The sequence below is a fragment of the Homo sapiens genome, chromosome 5, assembly GCF_000001405.40.
Source record: "Homo sapiens chromosome 5, GRCh38.p14 Primary Assembly".
In the NCBI taxonomy this organism is placed as follows: Eukaryota; Metazoa; Chordata; class Mammalia; order Primates; family Hominidae; genus Homo; species Homo sapiens.
The window spans coordinates 23,152,922-23,171,986 of NC_000005.10; the positions used below are offsets into that span (position 1 = coordinate 23,152,922).

The 19,065-nt window shown below is 35.6% G+C and overlaps 1 long non-coding RNA gene across 1 annotated transcript, besides 1 other annotated feature; it reads right to left on the minus strand.

Moving 5' to 3' along the window:
* Positions 1-6,922: 6,922 nt before the first annotated feature.
* Positions 6,923-18,674, minus strand: LOC105374687 (uncharacterized). Its single transcript, XR_925851.1, has 4 exons — positions 18,592-18,674; positions 11,393-11,563; positions 9,039-9,134; positions 6,923-6,971 (listed from the first exon to the last, which is right to left on the minus strand). It is a non-coding gene; the product is annotated as an uncharacterized LOC105374687 (long non-coding RNA).
* Positions 16,739-17,033: a silencer, noted in NCBI's record as "tiled region #8980; HepG2 Repressive non-DNase unmatched - State 24:Quies, and K562 Repressive non-DNase unmatched - State 24:Quies". NCBI's record gives its function as "represses a minimal TATA promoter and a strong SV40 promoter by Sharpr-MPRA in HepG2 and K562 cells {active_cell/tissue: HepG2 | K562}" and the evidence as "EXISTENCE:reporter gene assay evidence [ECO:0000049][PMID:27701403]".
* Positions 18,675-19,065: the final 391 nt, after the last annotated feature.

Sequence of the window (19,065 nt, forward strand, 5' to 3'; positions counted from 1 at the left end):
AGCCATGATGAAGAGATGATGGAGTAATAATTTCACTTCAGTATAACCACAGGACTTGGAACTCGAAGGCTAATGTTAATACATGTAACTCCTCCAAAACAGCCAAGCCAGAGAAAACTCTAGATACAGAGCCTCTTCTGTTGCACTCTTCATGCTTTCCCCCATAGCTACTAGTCCTGACTTCCTTGAACCCTCTGACCCTTTCTAGATAGAGTCTAATTTTGACTTTCATAAGTAACATCTAACTTTCATGATTAAGATCTAGGGCCCACACATTTTATGAGTTTCAAACTTGGCTAACAGTTTCTGATTTCATTAAGAAACATTTTGTAGTTCATGATGAAAAACAAAACATAACATTTTTGAAAATATACGTCATTTGTGACCCTGCAACTCCATAATGAAAGATAAAAATTAGCAGACATAAGGACTTTTAATAACTTTAAAGTATTTTTTTTATGTTTTAGACACTGAACTGCAATGATATCTTGCTACTAAATGGTAGTATGTGCTAGAGTCGTCAATATCAGATGGATAAAATTTGGGCTTTTTCCAAAAGCCCAAAAGTAATCTAAATCCCAAAATCAAAAGATTAAAACTAATCCACTTACTTCTTTTTTATTTATTTTTATATTTATAATTATTTTTGAGACAGGATCTCACTCTGTCATATAGGCTGGAGTTCAGTGGCACAATCATGATTCACCACAGCCTCGACCTTCCAGGCTCAGGTGATCCTCCCATCTCAGCTTCCCGAGTAGCTGGGACTATAGGCACCTGCCACCACATCTGGCTAATTTTTGTATTTTTTGTAGAGAAGGGATTTTGCCATTTCACCCAGGCTAGTCTGGACTCCAGGGTTCAATTGATCCACCTGCCTCAGCCTCCCAAAGTGTTAGGATTACAGGCCTCCATTCACCCTTAAAAAGTAACTGATAATTGTGCTATAAAACTCAGAAACATGGTATTTCAGATGTGATTTACTTTCTAGGATATTTTTTTTGTGGCTATTATCATTTTTTTTTAGATTAAGAAAAATAATGCACTAAGATCAAGATTTTCAGAGAGATGGCAGGAACTGTAAGGGATGAGATTATATTAGTATAATGTCTGGAAACACAGTCTGAATCTAAGAAATCAGGCAAAAGAGATGAAAACTCCATGTAAGAAGAATAATATACATAGGAGTATATAATCCAGGCAACACTAACTCTGGAAACCCTGCATATCATCTGTATGAGAGGAGGTCAGGATCTGAGAAGCCTGAAGTCTCTGGAGCAGAAATTCCCTTAAAATACACTAATTTCCACTGCTTCCCTCCTCCCTCTTAGAGTCACACTAGGAGTGTGGGTTGAACACTAGAGTGTCTGAGTAAAGAAGCAGACACTAAAGCAGTTATAAAACAAAACATTTGCAAAGTGCGTTTGTTTGACCTCATTCTGAATCAAAATTTACTCATGTTTCAAAACCATGCCCAAAAGTAATCTAAAACCTCAAATTAGTATACTTTAATAAAGTAATTTTTAAAAGGAAAACAAACAGTAAATTGGGTAACTACATTTATTAAATGAAGTAAAAATAATTATTTAAATTTTATGAAGTAGCTTTTACAAGGTTCATGATAGGAATTCTTTATTCATATTTTCTACTTAAATAAATATCTGTCCCAGAAAGGCAAGCAAGTGGAGGAAAATGATAATTAGATGCTATTTTTCTATTCAGGGAGAGACCTTTATTATTCATGTAGCCATTTATATTGATTTAGAAATATTTGTAGAGATGTACAGAGTTCTATTTCAGAATTTTATTTTCTTAACATTACAAGTATCATCCATATTTGAGAACAGTGTAAATAATCAGATATGCTTTTTAGTCAAAAACATGTTTGCATATTTATTGAAAGATAATATTATTCTTATATTTGAAAGTTTTAGGCTCTAACTCAGAAGTACATATATGCAATATAGGCTTCTGTTAGGATTTCATAATTCTGATTTCATAGAAATAATTTCACATTGAATAATAAAAAGACAGTGAAGGACAGAAGAGCCTGGGGGGTTGGGGGGAATAAATAATTTTAGGATTAGAAATTTCATAAAGCTCCAAATGTATATATTGGCAGTTAATAAACACTTCTATATTACTTTTAGATTGACAGAAAAGTTGCAGTAATATTAAAGAAAGTTCCTGTGTAGCAAGTGATATAGTTTGGCTGTGTCCTCACCCAAATTTCACCTTGAATTGTAATGATCCCCACGTGTCATGGGAGGAACCTGGTGGGAGGTAATTGAATCATGGGGGTGGTTACCTCTGTGCTGTTCTTGTGATAGTGAGTGAGTTCTCAAGAGATCTGATGGTTTTATAAGGGGCTTCCCCCTTCACTTGGCTCTTATTCTCTCCCCTGCCACTATGTGAAGAAGGATGTGTTTGCTTCCCCTTCTGCCATGATTGTAAGTTTCCCGGGGCCTTCCCAGGCATAAGAAACTGCGAGTCGATTAAACCTCTTTTCATTATAAATTACCCAGTCTCAGGTATGTCTTTATTAGCAGCATGAGAACAGACTTATACACCAAGTCCCCCAGTTTTTCTTCAATTGTTAACATGTTACGTAACTTTAGTACAATTGTTATAATTAATGAACTAATGTTGATTTAGTATTACTAAAGTCCATATGTTATTAGAACTTCCTTTGTTTTTACCTAATGTCCTTCTCTTATTCTAAGATCCCTTCTCAAGTTATGACATCACATTTAGTCATCTCTCCATCCCTCCAAAATATATTTTCGTAATTTTCAAATATGGAATATAACCGAATGCATTGCACACTGGGATGGCTAGAATATTGAGACAAAGCAATTATGTTGCACTGGTGGAAAATGGATTATCAAAGTGCTAATATATCCAGCCACATAAATCATGCATGACCTATAATTTCAAGATTGCATTGGAAATTTTGTATATTGAATAATATTGAGACTCAAACTGAAAGGAATATAATATACCTTCAAAAGATCCAAAGGTAATATATTTCTAAATTTGGATAAAGTAGGTGCTACAGACATATAATAATTTTTTCAATTTTGTCAGAGAAAATAAGGTAAAAAATCCTATGTTTTATCTTGAACTATGAGAAACACAAAGATTTTCTCTAATTTAGAAGAGAAGTATTTTCAAATGGAATTTTAAAATATTATGGTGATATTTGATTGCAGATGATAGAACATATGAATTATCCTTAAATTTTCTCCTCAGTGGAAATATAGTAAGAACTAAATAATGCATATCTCTTATATTTAAATTACAGTGTAGATTTTGCTTTGGGGCTATTAAATTCTTTATCTCAGTTGCTAGTTCAGGACATAATTCGGAACATTTCAGTATCTAATAATGGCAACATTTATCAGGTACTTACTATATGCCAAACTGTTCTTTATAGTTGACATGTTTTAACTCATTTTTTCCTTGTAACAACCCTCTGAGAAAAATACAATTATCTGCATTCTAGAGATGGGACAACTGATAAACAGAGAACAGTAAATTGCATAAGGCATTTTGATTCTGGGTACCTTGATCATAAACAATACCTTCTATTGCCTCATATGTGGGGAAAACCAAAATACCGTATTACTGACATCTCTGTCACATTTCTACATGGATTCATTGAACTTAGGCATAAAAACTGCTTTCCCTTTGTCTGTGGGTCTTCATTTCTGAAGGCTGTCATGTCACATCAAACTTTGATTAAATCCATTTGTTATGCTTTTCCCTTGTTGACCTGTCTTTCGTTACAGGAGTGTGAGTCCTGGACCTTATGATGGGTGTGAAAAGGTATCACACCTTTGCACCTCTGCATAGTCTGTTATACGTACCTATGTGCCTTTGATGGCCCTTACAATGGGTGTGAAAAGGTATCTCACCTTTGTACCCCTGAACAGTGGATGTTTTATGTACCTGTGTGCACATAAACTCATGCTCCATTGTATGCTGCATAGATCCTGATAATACAGTATATTCTGTGACAGATTACAGTAGTGAAAATGTTCCTGTGTGTCTGAAGACTATTACTTTGTTGAAAGTAAACTTTTCCATTTCAGTGGAGTCATTCGTAACTGAGAATTACAAGACATTTTATCATCTCAAGCTCTCTTGTATGGAACTCCTACAAGCTGCATTTTATCATTTCTTAGGTTTGAGGTAAGATAATCATATATTTGAGCAGGGGTTATGACATGACTCCACACATTCTCTATAGTATATAGGGAATATTTTCTTACCAGAAGAAAGGAAGCATTAATGGGTTTTTAGAAAGTTCTTGTTAGCCAATATTAAATTCAGAAAATCTAATTGTATTAGTTCATTCTCTCATTGCTACAAAGAACCACCTGAGATTAGCAATTTATAAAGAAGAGAGGTTTAATTGACTCACAGTTCCTCAGGCTTTCCAGGAAGCATGACTGGGCAGGCCCCAGGAAACTTACAATCATGGTGGAAGGCGAAGGGGAAACAGGCATGTGTTACATGTTCAGAGCAGGAGAGAGAGCTAGGGGAGATGCTACACACTTTTAAACAACAAGATCTCATGAGAACTCACTCACTATCATGAGAACAGCAAGGGGAATATCTGTGCCCATCATCCAATCACCTCCCACCAGGCCCTTCCTACAGCATTGGGGATTACAATTCGACATCAGATTTGGATGGAGACACAAATCCAAACCATATCACTAATGTTCCAGAAATTACATTTATTCTTCATTGCATCCCTGATTCTATTGATCACAGTATAACTATTCCTTCAAAATGATTTGTTGTTAATATCTAACCAACACAAGAACCTTTTATTTGCTGGTCACCCTACTAATTGCTGGTGATGCAAGGGTGAAGAGTCATGCATTCAAAAGTTCACAATCCTGTGGGGAAAATTGATACATTAGTGTTATTAATATGCATGAGTCATAAAGTGTGACAATCATATGACCCCATATCAGTTTAAATGAATTACATCACAGACTTGACCCTCTATGAGACCAGTGCTGTGTGATAGAATCATAACACAAGACAAATATTCATTCAAAAACTTAGCATTCACTCAAATACATAAAAAGAAACAGATCATATGAATTTTAAGAATATATTTCACGTAATCCAATATATCCAAAACATCATTTATTCAACATGTAACCATGATAAAAAACATTTTGTTGATATATTTTTTATTATTTGTTTAGTAAGTTTCAAAATCCGCTGTCTCTTTTAGACTCACAGCACATCTCTCTTCTGACTAGTCACATTTCAAGTGTCCCATAACTGCCCGTCACTAGTGGCTAGGTTATTGGATGGTGTGGCTCCACACCCATGCCACTCAGAGAATAGTTCTTGGACCAGCAGCATTAGCATCAGCTGTGAGCTTCTGAGGGCTACAGAATCTCATCTCTGACTTCAAACCTACTGAATATTCAAAAGATTCTCAGGTGACTCACATGCTCATTAAAGGTGAGAAGTACTTTTCTAAAAGAAGTCATATAAGGAATGCCTCAGGATTTCTTATCAAGGAAAGTTGGCAAACACTGCGCTAGTCAGTTGGGCACACAAAGCCTTACTTTGTAATTCAAGCAAATGGATTCAAACAATGAATCCTAATGAAGGAAGCCAGTTCAAGAAAATAGTCTCAAAGATGTTTACAGGGATCTTCAAAACAGAAATCTTTGAAAATTTTGTGAAGCTGCCTTGACATCTATTCCATAATGAGTTATTCTGAGTGTATTTGTGTGTGTATGTGTTTGTGTTTACACATGTGTGTTTATTTTGTACTATTTTTATCAAAAAATTTAGACTGATTTCTTTGATAATTAAGTATCTTTTGTTTGGACAAGCATGTTTATAAAACTGATTATGCAAAAGATAAATAAACTCACTGTGCTGATTTAACTGTTATCCACATATTAGATTCAGCAAATAATTCATAACTTCAATGACAGTTCAGAGAACAGCTGGAACTTGAGCAATCAATTATAAATGCATCTCCCCCAGGCACCTAAAGAGAATGGGAGTTTATTCCATAGTGTTAAGGATTTTTATTCCCTCAGCTACTATGCCATGTCAAATCTCATCTTTGAAATGGTGACCAAATTCTCAGAGTTACGACATGTTGCATGTGTGCATAATCAGGCAGTCAAACTTTTATCTGGGTGATTCTCTTGTGGCTACTTATCTAGTTGAAATAAGTCCAAATATATTCTAATAAAAAAGGAAATATACGTTCAAGAGATAAAAAAAGAGTTTATTACTGTGTCTTCTTTTCTAATATTTGCTAACTTAGTGATTAAATAAAATACTGCCTAAAAACATGAGTTTTTAAATCAGACAGGTCTAGGTTCAATTTCTGACCCTTTCACTCATTGTCTGAATACACTTGAACACATTAAATAGCATCTGAGTCTTTTTATTTTTCTTTTTTGCTTGTAGCTGCTGGGTGAGGTGTCAGAGTCCCAGCATCAGAAAGTGGCCAACTCGTGAGTTGGTAAGAAGAATTTACCAACAGCATAGGTTTGAAAAAAGAAAAGTTTCTTTAGAAAGAAAGAATGCTGCAGAAGAGTGCAGCAGGGAGCCTTAGCAAGACAGGACTGAGAGCACCAGGGTGGATTTTTTCCTTAGAGGTATTTATGGACCTTCAAGCAGGAGCTGAAGGGTAATTTGGACCATAGTTGCCATTTAGGTCATGATAAATGATTACATTTGTAGACAATTTGGTGCCTTAATGTTAGCAAGAGTTACACAATCAGTTTTGATATGCATGCATTCTGTAGATGTATAGAAATTCTACTTATAAATTCTGGGGAAAGAAGCCTAGTACCTGAAGCCTGCTTTAGATAATAGAGAAGTCTAATTACTTCTGAATTCCTCACATAAGGAGTTTTACCTCTGGATGATCTGCTTGATGGCTACAAGATGATCTTTGCTCTCTTCAACAGCTAAAGTAAAAATGATCAGTTTTACTGGTTTATTTAAGAATTAAAGAAAATAAAAATTTTCCACATAATTAATGCTCACTTAATAGTTTCTGAAACACTTGAGGTTTCACCATATCACATTATAGGTAAGACTCCTTTTTATTATCCTTTACTCTTACAAAAAAAAAAAAAAAAAGCAACCTCTGGTCTCAAAGACTCCAGGTGTTACTTTCTCTTTGAAACTCAACTCTAAAATATATAATTCTGTAGCCCTTGCATCGTCATCATCGTCATCATCGTCATCATCACCCTCCTAGCTCACATTTACTGGGACACGTTGTTAAAAGATTTGCATACATTTTCGTGGCTTTTTTTTTTTTTGAGATGAAGTTTTGCTCTTGTTGCCAAGGCTGGAGTGCAATGGCATGATCTCAGCTCACCACAACCTCTGCCTCCCAGGTTCAAGCGATTCTCCTGCCTCAGCTTCCTGAGTAGCTGGGATTACAGGCGTGTGCCATCACACCTGGCTAATTTTGTATTATTTTCTTACATCTCACAAGAATTTCATGAAGTAGCTACTGGTAATGTCTTGAAAGAGGAGCTTTATAAAGGTTAAGTAACTTCTTTAAATTCGCACTGTGTGAAGGCAGGGATAAATCCTGGACTGGTAATAGCAGAGACAACTCACTAAATTAAAAACATGAAGTAATTAGAAAGTTGAATACCTGTGTCACATCAACACTTTCCTAGGAAATATAAGACTGTAAAGCACGACTATTTGCTTCAGAAAATTCCAGCAAACCAATTTATGTAAAATAACAATCTGTTCACCTGAAGTAATAGCTTATATATCGATATTATGGGCTGAATTGTTCCCCTCTCCAAAATTCATATTGATGTCCTAACATATAGTACCTTAGAATGTGACTGTATTTGGAAATAGAATATTTAAAGAGGTCATTAAGGATCAGAAAGGCCGTGAGGATGAGTCCTAATCTGATACACGTGGTATCCCAATAAGAAGAAAGATTAGGATATCCTGATATGAAGAAAGATGAGGACACAGATATACAGAGTGAAATACTATGTGAAGGCACAGGAAGAAGATGGCTATCAATAAGCCAAGGAGAGAGACCTAAGAAGAAACCAACCTTGCTGACACCTTCATCTCAGACTTATAGACTCCAGAATTATACAAAATTAAATTTCTGTTGTTTAAGTCACCTACTCTATGGTACTTTGTTAAGACAATCCAAACTAGTACAGATGCTTCTCTAATTGAGAATGTGCTTATGTCCTGATAAACTTATTATAAATAAGAAATATCAGAAGTTGAAAATGTATTTATTACCCCCCAAAACCCGTTGTAAAAATAAAAATTCATAATTTGAACCATCATAAGTCCAGATGCTCCTAAATTTATGATGGGGTTACATCCCAATAAACCCATGGTATTGTTGAAAACTTATCAATGAAACCATAAGTCAGAGACTGTGCAATCAAGCACTACTGTTAACTACCAATATTACTGATTGGTGTAGTTTTAATGATGTCATATTATTATAAATCTAAGTCTATCCTCTCTGTGCCAGACACCTACTAATTACGTGTATTTACATTATAATCCTAGTTATTAGAAATATCATCTAAATGTTACAATTTTTAATAATAATGATAATAATGATAATAATAATGATAATGATAATAATAATGGTAATTTAACATTACAATTGCCACTTTGAAGATCTTTTATTATGAACAAAATTGTTCATTCAAGAGGTACTTTAGAAATCAAAGAAAAATGACAGAAGCATTTAATGGTCTGAATTGGGGGAAGTGGAATTAAAAGGAAGTTTACAAAATAAATTAAGATTATACAATGATTTTATTGACAAAGGTAAATATAAATGTAAAAAAGTTAAAACTGTCTTTATGTTAGATACTCCAAGCACAATTTGAATCTAATGGCCATTACACTACTGTTTCTCTTCCCCCAACCTACACTTTAATGGTACCCCTAGCTGTTACTCTCTTCCTGGCCTACTTTCCTTTTTTATGGCTACCCAAACACTTACACAGCTAATTTACCTCTTAAGGGTAAATTCCTTTCTCAATAGGGCAAGGTTGATATTAAGAGCTGGTCTCCTTCTGTGCTGAGAACGATTATCAAGGACTTTCCAAAGCCTAGAAAAGATAGAGAAAAAAAAGATTAACAGAGGGATTTAGAATACATTTAACAATATATAATCTATTATTCTTAAGTCTATATCAATTGGTCCATATGTTATCAGGATCCTTAAACACAGAACAGTTGGAAGAAAATGAAGAATTATGAGACCTCGAGAATGATTTAAGAAAGCTGGATTTGCATAAGAAACAAGGGGGTTTGGAAAATATGTAGAACTTGGACAAAATCTTTTGAAGGCTATTTCCAATATCTTCCTTTCGTGAGTAGAGTAGACCCTAATATAGTCCTGCAAGCAAAGAAAGAATAGTCTATTAGGCGCTTTAGGGATACTCTTCTTATCTTCTTTAGACAGCATCCATTAGTAAATCCTAATGTAGTTGAGACTGAACCTTTCTCTTCGCTTTTTGAAAAATTAATGGTGAACCTTAAACATAATACGGGCCTCTAAAGAAAGAGCATACACTATTTTATGAGAAGAACACACTTAAATTTCTATATACTTTTTGAGATATTTATATTTCTAAGAAAACTGGGAAGCAAATAAAGCATTAAATTCAGTAACATGATTGACACCCCCCTTTTTTTTCATGAACTCTAAAGAATGGGATCTGTTCTTTTCAAGCACTCTTTAGATTCTGGTTTAGAAGTGGACTATAAATTCTAGAAAACCTATTTCTTATGGTGTTAAAATATATGACTTTTGGAGTTTGAAATGTTGTTGCAAGCTGTTCTCGCATCAAATGATCCAACAAAAGATCATCCAACAAAAACAGGCAAATCTGAAGTATACAGCAGTTGAAATCGCCACCATCAGAAACATAATATGCGTTGTTACTCTTCAAAGAACAGTACAGCTCTGAAGTAGTAAAGTCCACAGATGACCATGCTGAATCCTTCAGAATGAGTGATGAACGACCGTAAGGAGAAGCTAAGCATTGAAAGCACCTGAACCAACATTTTGCAGTCATGAAACAGTTATCAGTTAAGGTAAGATGATACAAAAATTAATAACTTCACTGTTTGCTTCGGGAAATTCCTGGAGATCAAATTATCTTAGACAAGAGTCTGCTCCCCTGAGGAAACAGCAAACATATCCAACAATCATTTATCAAGATTCACTTCGAGATGCTAACCTCACTGTGCCCACCAATCCTACACATTTATGTAGTGAACATTGATCGTCAAATCTAAGCCAATTCAACACCTTGTTAGATATACATACCTTAAACCACTTGACCCAGACTTTAAAACCTTATAATTATCTTTCTTTTGTGTTTCCTTTTCTGAGAGACTGCTGAAATTTTGTTAAGATGGTATTTTCTGTTATGACAATGAGTTCCAATAAATGTATTTTATTATATTAACAAGCTATCTGGTGATATTTGGGGGAGTTGACCTATCACAGTATTTTATAATGGAAAGGACAACAAAATTGGAATAAAAGACCTTGGTTGGATTCATTACTTCAGTTAACTGAGGCACATAAAACAGGTGCCTAATATTTTCATACAATATTTTTGTGGGTGAACTTAGAATAACAATTATTTTTCTTCCTGCATCATAATATTCCTAATACAGTAATGGAATATGATGGCAAAATTAAAACAGCCTTGTAAAAACTGAACGGTTACACAAATATAAAACTTTGCTTAGTTTCATATTTGTATAACCGTTCAGTTTTTACAAAGTGTGCATAAAACTGACCACCTAGGCCAGAACACTCTCAAAAGTAAGGGTGCCACTATTTTTATAGTCCTAAGATCCATGTCATAAAGGAGAACTATCCCAGTCAAAGTCCTATAAATCATTGCTCAATTATTCCTGTAAGTTCAAGTTACTTCTTTTATTCAGGCAATTCTCTTCACCGCCACAGCTACTACCAGCACCAACTGCAAAAAAACTCTTCTATCTTTGGGAAGATCCTCAGGGAAACCATATCTGACTTAAGTTTAGGGCCACAAAATTAATTCAAATAAAGCACTATGAAGACAAAAATATGATTTTGGTAATTTCTGCCTCCTGAAATCTCAAGGTTGTTTTTTTTTTTTCTTAGTATCTGGGACAAGTGAACCAAGTAGGTATATAAATAAAAATTAGCTAAATTTTTCCAGTTGTATTTAGTTGTGTTCTGCCTCTTCACTAAACATCTACACAGAGAAGTTAAGAAATAGCTAAATGTAGTAAAGTACTCAAGTTAGTTTGGAAAAATGAGCAGCGAGAAAAAAAGGACAAGTGCTGTAAATGATTTACATACCAGATAGCAGGCTCCTGACAAATAGAGCTTCCATTTTATTTTGTTTTCATTATTTCAAGGTGCATAATTTAAAAATCGAGTTCACTGTGTCACATACCAGGATACTTAATCTTCTCTAAAATGACATTGTTGAATGGTGTCATATTTCAGGTGGAAATTGAAACTAGGCACCTACAAAATAACACGCATCATGAAAACGTTAATCACAAAAATCTGCCAAACTCTGGAATTAAAAATGAATGCATATAAAACAAGAATTAAAACATTTTATTACATTGTCATTCTTTTTCTATCTCTGTATTTTTAAATACCGTGAGATAACTAAAACTAAAATTTCGCTTATTTTTTAATTGTTAACTTTGAATTTAAGTTGGATGATAAAATAATTATACAGAATAAAAAGTCAAGTGAGTGGATATTTTAGTATATTCCTTTTTATTTTACAATGCTTTTTTTCAAAACTGATAAATTATCAGTGAACTGAAGAATATAAAATATTTTGTTTAAATAATTTATCCTTTAAGAAAAGGCAAAATACATTAGAATAAAAAACAAGGTATTTTGGAAAGACAGAGTATAAGTAATAACTCATTTCATAAACATGAAAATGTTTAGAATAAAAACCTTATAAAATTTTATGGGTTAGTATCATCTAAAAAGGAATCATTTAAAAAAATACAGTAATAACATTTTAAAAGGATGCAACAAAAACTTTCTGGATTATATTGTGTGTGTGTATGTGTGTGTGTGTGTGTGTGTGTGTGTGTGTGTATGAGAGAGAGAGGAAAGAAGAGAAAGAGAGAGAACAAAAGAGAAGCAACCCAGGAGGTCAGAAGAAATGGTCAAAATGTGTTAAATTCCAGGTCAGGAATTGTAGCTCACACCTGTAATCTTAGCACTTTGAAAAGCTAAGATAGGAGAACTGCTTGAGGCCAGAAGCTCAAAATCAGCCTGGGAAACACAGTGAGACTCTATCTCTAAAAAAAAAAAAAAAAAAAAATTAAAAATTAGCCTGGCATGATGGCACATGCATATAGTCCCAGCTACTTGGGGGCTGAGACAGGAAGATTCCTTGAGCCCAGAGAGTCAAGGCTGCAGGAACTATGATCACATCACTGCACTCCAGCCTGGGTGACAGAATGACACCTTGTCTTTAAAAATTAAAAAAAAAAAAAGATAAATTCTAAACTACATAATATAATAAAAAGTAAACTTATCTATTATATTAGTAATAGTATTTTTTGTGATTTACTAAAAATTAAACGTTTTTCTTAGACTGGATTATGTTTTAAAATTAATTTTTCTCAAAAATATTTTTAAATACATTTTACTATTATACTCGGCATTTCTCAATTATGGTGGAGATAAATATATATTTTTACATACTATTTGCATTTTTGAGTATATATTTATCTGATTAGTGAAAACAAATTGTATTGCTACTCTTGTTTCTCCCTTTAAGAAACCAACATACTAATTATTCCTTACTTTAATTTGTTTAATTTCAAAATCTAGATAAAATAATTATTCAGTAAAAATGATGGTTACCTAGATTGCATCATTGAATAGTAAGGAATTGTATTCAGAATGCTAACAAATTTTAAAAGTTTATGTAATCCCTAAGAGATTATTGAACACCAAATTGTAGCTCTGATTAATTTAGTTAAAGAAGCATTTCACATTCCCTGTGTTTTATTGATTGACATGATTCTTCTAGTGAAATTATAAACTGCATTGCTATATTTTACTTTAACAATGATTCTTGTATTGTTGCTATATGAAAACCAAATGCAAGACGAGAAAGAACTGATTTCATTTTTAACATATCACCAAAAATAAATAAAAATGCAATTCCACAGAACACTGGCAAATGTGTTTTTATGAAAATGCAACTGAAGAATTTAAAGTTTGAAAACACACAGGTAAACAATTCACATTTCCTAATTTTATGGTATTAAAAATTTGTTCATAAAAAAGACTAGCAATAAAGTATATTTTAAATTTGCTGTTTGCTCTGTAATTTGGATTTCAAAATGACCCTCCCTAAAGAATGCAATAGTTGTTTTCTTCTGTGAGTTATTTTAAAATCACAAAAAAATCTTGAATTTAAAATTTTAATGCTAGCTGAAGTAAATGCAGTGATTTCTTAAATAGTTTAGCAAGAATCAAAGTTTTGTTTTCTTTTTCTTTTTTTTCTGAAATGCAAGAGGGATGTACTTCTCAAAGAAACTACTTCAAACAGAATACAGATAAAAATGTATTTACAGGGCTTTGAGTAGATGGACCTCTACTTTGAGGAGCAGTCACAGAAAACTGAACAGAAACCCCAGCAACGTTTCATGCACACTGCCACGTGCTTTTTCTTTTTTTTCTTTTTTCTTTTTCTTTTTTTTTTTTTTTTGAGAGGGAGTTTCGTTCTGTCGCCCAGGCTGGAGAGCAGTGGCACGATCTCGGCTCACTGCAAGCTCCGCCTCCCAGGTTCACGCCATTCTCCTGCCTTAGCCTCCCAAGTAGCTGGGACTACAGGCGCCCGCCACCACGCCCGGCTAATTTTTTTGTATTTTTAGTAGAGACGGGGTTTCACCGTGTTAGCCAAGATGGTCTCGATCTCCTGACCTCATGATCCGCCTGCCTCGGCCTGCCAAAGTGCTGGGATTAGAGGCCTGAGCCTGATTTTGGGAGCGCTACTGGTTGTTATTTCCCTGTAACTAAGGTTTAACTAAGCGCTAAATGGAAATTTCCACATAGGTGCAAGGAAAAATCATTATGAGAAAATGGAAATTCAGGAAAGTTCAAGAAAATACAGCCTTTCATATTTAATTATGTAAGAATTAATGACTGTCTTTGAATCAACTTGATAATTATCTTTTTATAGTACAAAAACTCATACCTTATTCAGACCTGAATCATTTTAAAATGTGTGGCATTGAGCTTGAACTCACAAGTTTTATGTTGTAAATACTTGTTGAATCCAACACATTGTGATTCCTGCTCTTATTTTCCTACAGAAACTACTAATTGATCTTAAGGATTTCACTCAAAAATAAAGTAACCCAATTTAATAATTCCATTATAAGACAGTGTATAACTATTCACACATTCAGAAATATGGTACAGAAAGAAAATGGTTACATATTTTCCCTCTGTGTGTTATGCTTGTAATATGGCTTTCCATTTTGACTCACTGTTCTCAAAATTCATTAAGTAGTAATGTTTCACAATTTTTTGAAGAATTCAATGAGCATTTTTTGTGTGTTAACTCAGTTTTCACTGATACTAGGAGCCCAACTGTGCAGACATCCTGGGTAAACAGCAAACAGCAGCAGCTTTCCAATAATATCTATTGACATGCTCATCTCTGCTACAACACATTTAGTTAGTGCTCTTGAATTACACTTCAAGGTTTCTCTACTAGAGCCATGGCTGTTTTCTTCTATTTAATGTTTGCTACTATATACATCTGCCATCTGAATCATAGTGTAACTACTCTTTGGGCCGACAAGAATTCATTTTATGGGAAAGACAAGACACTTCTCACTTATCGAAAACAGAGTGGCCATACATCTACACATTTAATTACTGAATCTATTAAATACACATTTTAAGTAATTATTCTGTGCTCATCACTGTGCTGCAAAAAATAAGGGTAGATTAAGATACAGGTCTCCATGTCATGGACGCCAAGGTTTAGGGTTAAGACTTTACATAAAAATCAAATAGCTATAAAATAATTTGATAATTCTGATTACTTTCATCTGCTTTGGATGGGAAGAAGGGCTTCCTAGAAGAGAGGAGTCAGGAAAATTGTAACCTGTATCTTGCTAATAAACTCATTCCCTTACTCAGGAGTCCCCAGACCCCAGGCCATGTCCCAGTCCATGGCCTGTCAGGAGCTGCCCACACATCAGAAGGTGAGCAGTGGGCGGGAGCAAAGTTTCATTTGTTATTTACAGCCACTCCCCATTGCTTGCATTACCACCTGAGCTCCGCCTCCTGTCAGATCAAGGGTGGCATTAAATTCTCATAAGAGTGTGAACCCCATTGTGAACTGTGCATACAAGGAATCTAGGTAATGGCACTCCTTGTGAGAGTCTAATGCCTGATGATCTGCCACTGTCTCCCATCACCCCCAGCTGGCACCATCTAATTCCAGAAAAACAAGCCAAGGGCTCCCCTTGATTCTACATTATGGTGAGTTGCAGAATTATTTCATCATATATTACAATGTAGTAATAATAGAAAGAAAGGGTACAATAAATGTAATGTGCTTGGATCATCCTGAAACCACCCCCACCACTGGATCATCCTGAAACCATCCCCACCATTGGCTCATCCTGAAACCATCCCCACCTTTCTCCTGGTCTGTGAAAAAAAGTGCCTTCCATGAAACTGGTTCCTGGTGCCATACTGGTGGGGGACCACTGCCCTTATTGGCTTTTACAAAGCAATTAAGCAATTGCAATCCTTCAAAGGCACACTAAAAGACAGCAAAATACACCTCCATAAAATCTGCTCCTTTGACATAAGGGTTACTTTGAGCTAAAGTTCATTGAGAAGAAGCAGATGCAAGAAAGGCTCTCTGAACTCTCTATCTAGACCTCAGAGCAGGACATAATTTTACAAAGGTGTCCCTTCACTCCTAGGGTGTGTGGCAGAGGGTGGTGATGACAACAAAGTTTGATAATAGAAGACAGTTACTTTACTCAGTAACTTTACTAAGAAGATTTGCTCTTCATGTATTTACCTTCTCATGATTTGCACCCCTTCGAAACTCTCTTTTCTTTGTCTAGACGCTTCTCTATAAATGTATTGTGCTCTGTTGATGTTGCTATACTATATAAGCCAGAGTTCTAAGCCTCTTCTGAGAATTACTGGTTCCCTGGGTATCACCCATGTATATATGAAATATGCATGTTGGCCGGGTGCAGTGGCTCATGCCTGTAATCCCAGCACTATGGTGGCTGAGGCAGGTGGATCATGAGATCAGGAGATCGAGACCATCCTGGCCAACATGGTGAAACTCTGTCTCTACTAAAAATACAAAAATTAGCTGGGCGTGGTGGTGCGTGCCTGTAATCTCAGCCACTCAGGAGGCTGAGGCAGGAGAATCACTTGAACCAGGGAGTCGGAGGTTGCCGTGAGCTGAGATCACACCACAGCACTGCAGCCTGGCAACAGAGCGAGACTCCATCTCAAAAAAAAAAAAAAAAAAAAAAAAAAGGAAATATACATGTGAATAAACTTCTGTTTTTCTCTTGTTAATCTGTCTTTTGTCATTAGGGTCTGTGACAAAACAAAAAAACAAAAAAACAAAAAACTGTTTTTCCTCTGCTATCACACCACAACAATCAATACAGAAAACTTCTGTGACGGACCAAAGGTGTGAGAGTTTTCCCCCTCACATCAAGTAAGCAACCAGTTCTGCAGGGGACACAAGTTGGGTGTGTGCTCTAACTGAATTCGAGCACTATGCACCTAGAAAGAGCATCATCCATCTCACACGCTGAAGGCTTAGTTCCCAAGACTGTCTTCCTTTCACATAACAATTGCATGTCTGGGTCTCCAGGATTTCTGAATGACTGGCTTCAAGCTGGGGTTCTCATGACCCCTTTGTGATTTTGATTTATTTGATAGAGTGGCTCACAGAACTGAGAGAAATACTTATTTACATTTACTGGTTTGTTTATTTTAAAATAAATAGGGTCTTCCTCTGTCACCCAGGCTAGAGTGCAGTGGCGCAATTATAACTAACTGCAGCCCCAAGCTCCTGGGCTCAAGTGATCCTCTCACCTCAGCTTCCCGACTAGCTGGGACTACAGACACACACTGCTCTGTCCAGCTAATTTATTTTTATTTTTACATTTTTAGAGTTGAGGGTCTTGCTATGCTGCCCAGGCTTGTCTCAAATTTCTGACCAGAAGTGATTCTCCCTCCTCAGCCTCTCAAAGCACTGGGATTACAGGCATGAGCCACCGTGCCTCATCAACTAGCTTATTATAAAAGATATAAAAGATATTACAAAGGATACAAGAAGGGGCACAGAGCTTCTAAGACCTCTCTGGGTATATCACCTTCTAGGAACCTCCACGTGATTGCCTATCTGGAAGCTCTCTGAACCCTGTTCTTTCAGGTTTTATGGAGGTTTCATTACTCAGGCATGAGTAATTAAACCATTGGGAACTGGCAATCAGCTTAGCCTTCAATCCTACTCCCCTCCTCTGAGGTTAGGGGGTGAGATTTGAATGTTCCAACCCTCTAATCATTCCTTGGACTTTCTGGTGACCAACCCACAACCTGAAGCCAGCTAGGGGCTTCCGGCCGCCAGCCGACTCATTAGCATACAGAAATACATCATTTTGGAGATTCTAAGGATTTTAGAAGTTGTGTTCCAGAAAATGAAGTAAAAGATCAAATATAGATTTCACAATGTCACAGACTCCCAGCTAAAAACTCAGAAAAATAGAGGGGAAATTATTTTTCCTCCCCTACCCCATCTAGCATGAAGCTAAGAGTGGCCTCTGGCCAACAGCCAGCTAGACAATGAGTTCCTCAGTCCAACAACCAAAAGAAACTCAATTCTGCCAACAACCACGTGAACCTGAAAATTGATCTATTCTCAGTGGAGTCTTGAGATAAATGCAGCCCGGCTGACATCCTGATTAGTCTTGTGAAAGAGGCTAAGACTAAAGACTCACTTAAGCTGGGCCCTAAGAAACTGGGCCCTAAGTAAATGTGTGTATGCGTTTTTAAGTTGCTAGATATTTGGTAATGATGTTACACATCAATAGTTAGCCAATTCAGATTTTTATCTAATGCCAATATTGATTGAGATATTGGATAAATGGTAGAATTAAATGCACAGTGAAGAGTAAACCTCCATGCAGAAGACAGCTAACAAGGCAAGGAGATGAGAAGCAACAACATTCTTATAGGGATGTAAGTGTTTTGTGTTGCAGGAGCAGCTATTCCAAGAAAGTTTCAGGTAGAAAATCAGAAAGCAGCCAAAACCCAGAGGAGGTTATATATCAATTCAGGGGACTTGGGCTTTGAATCATTCTTGTCATGTCACAGTGTAGATGGAGCAGAAGAAAGAGAAGTTTGGGTGTGATTTAGAGAGATAATGCTTATAAAGAGGAAAAATGTAGGACAAGCAAGATTAGTAATATATTAGTAATGGCTAGTATTTATTGGGCACTTACGTGACAGGAACTCTTCTACTTCATTAACGTCTACAAGCCTCACTGATGTGACAGGAACTTCTCTACCTCATTTAACATCCATAAGACTCCTCTGTACATTTTATTTGGAATCATTTCTAATATGAGGAAATTGAGGTAAGGAGAAATTAAGTTAAATTATGAAAGGTGCAGAGCTAATAAGTTGCACTGCCAAGATTTGAATGTAATCAGATATTCCCCAGAAACCGTGTGCTGCCCCTCTACAGAGGTGCCTGAACTGCTATAGTGATACAGTCAATCACTGAAGAAATCTAGGAGAGAATGAATTAAAGAGAATTCTGATCACAAAAGTATTCCATCAACTTCCAAATTCCTGGCTTCCTATTCATCCATCCATTCATCTCCCTCCTTTTGACGATATGAGTCATGTCCCATTTCTTATCTCTGCCTCTTTTCTCAGTTCTGTCTTCTCTCACACTCTCAGTATTCTTTCCA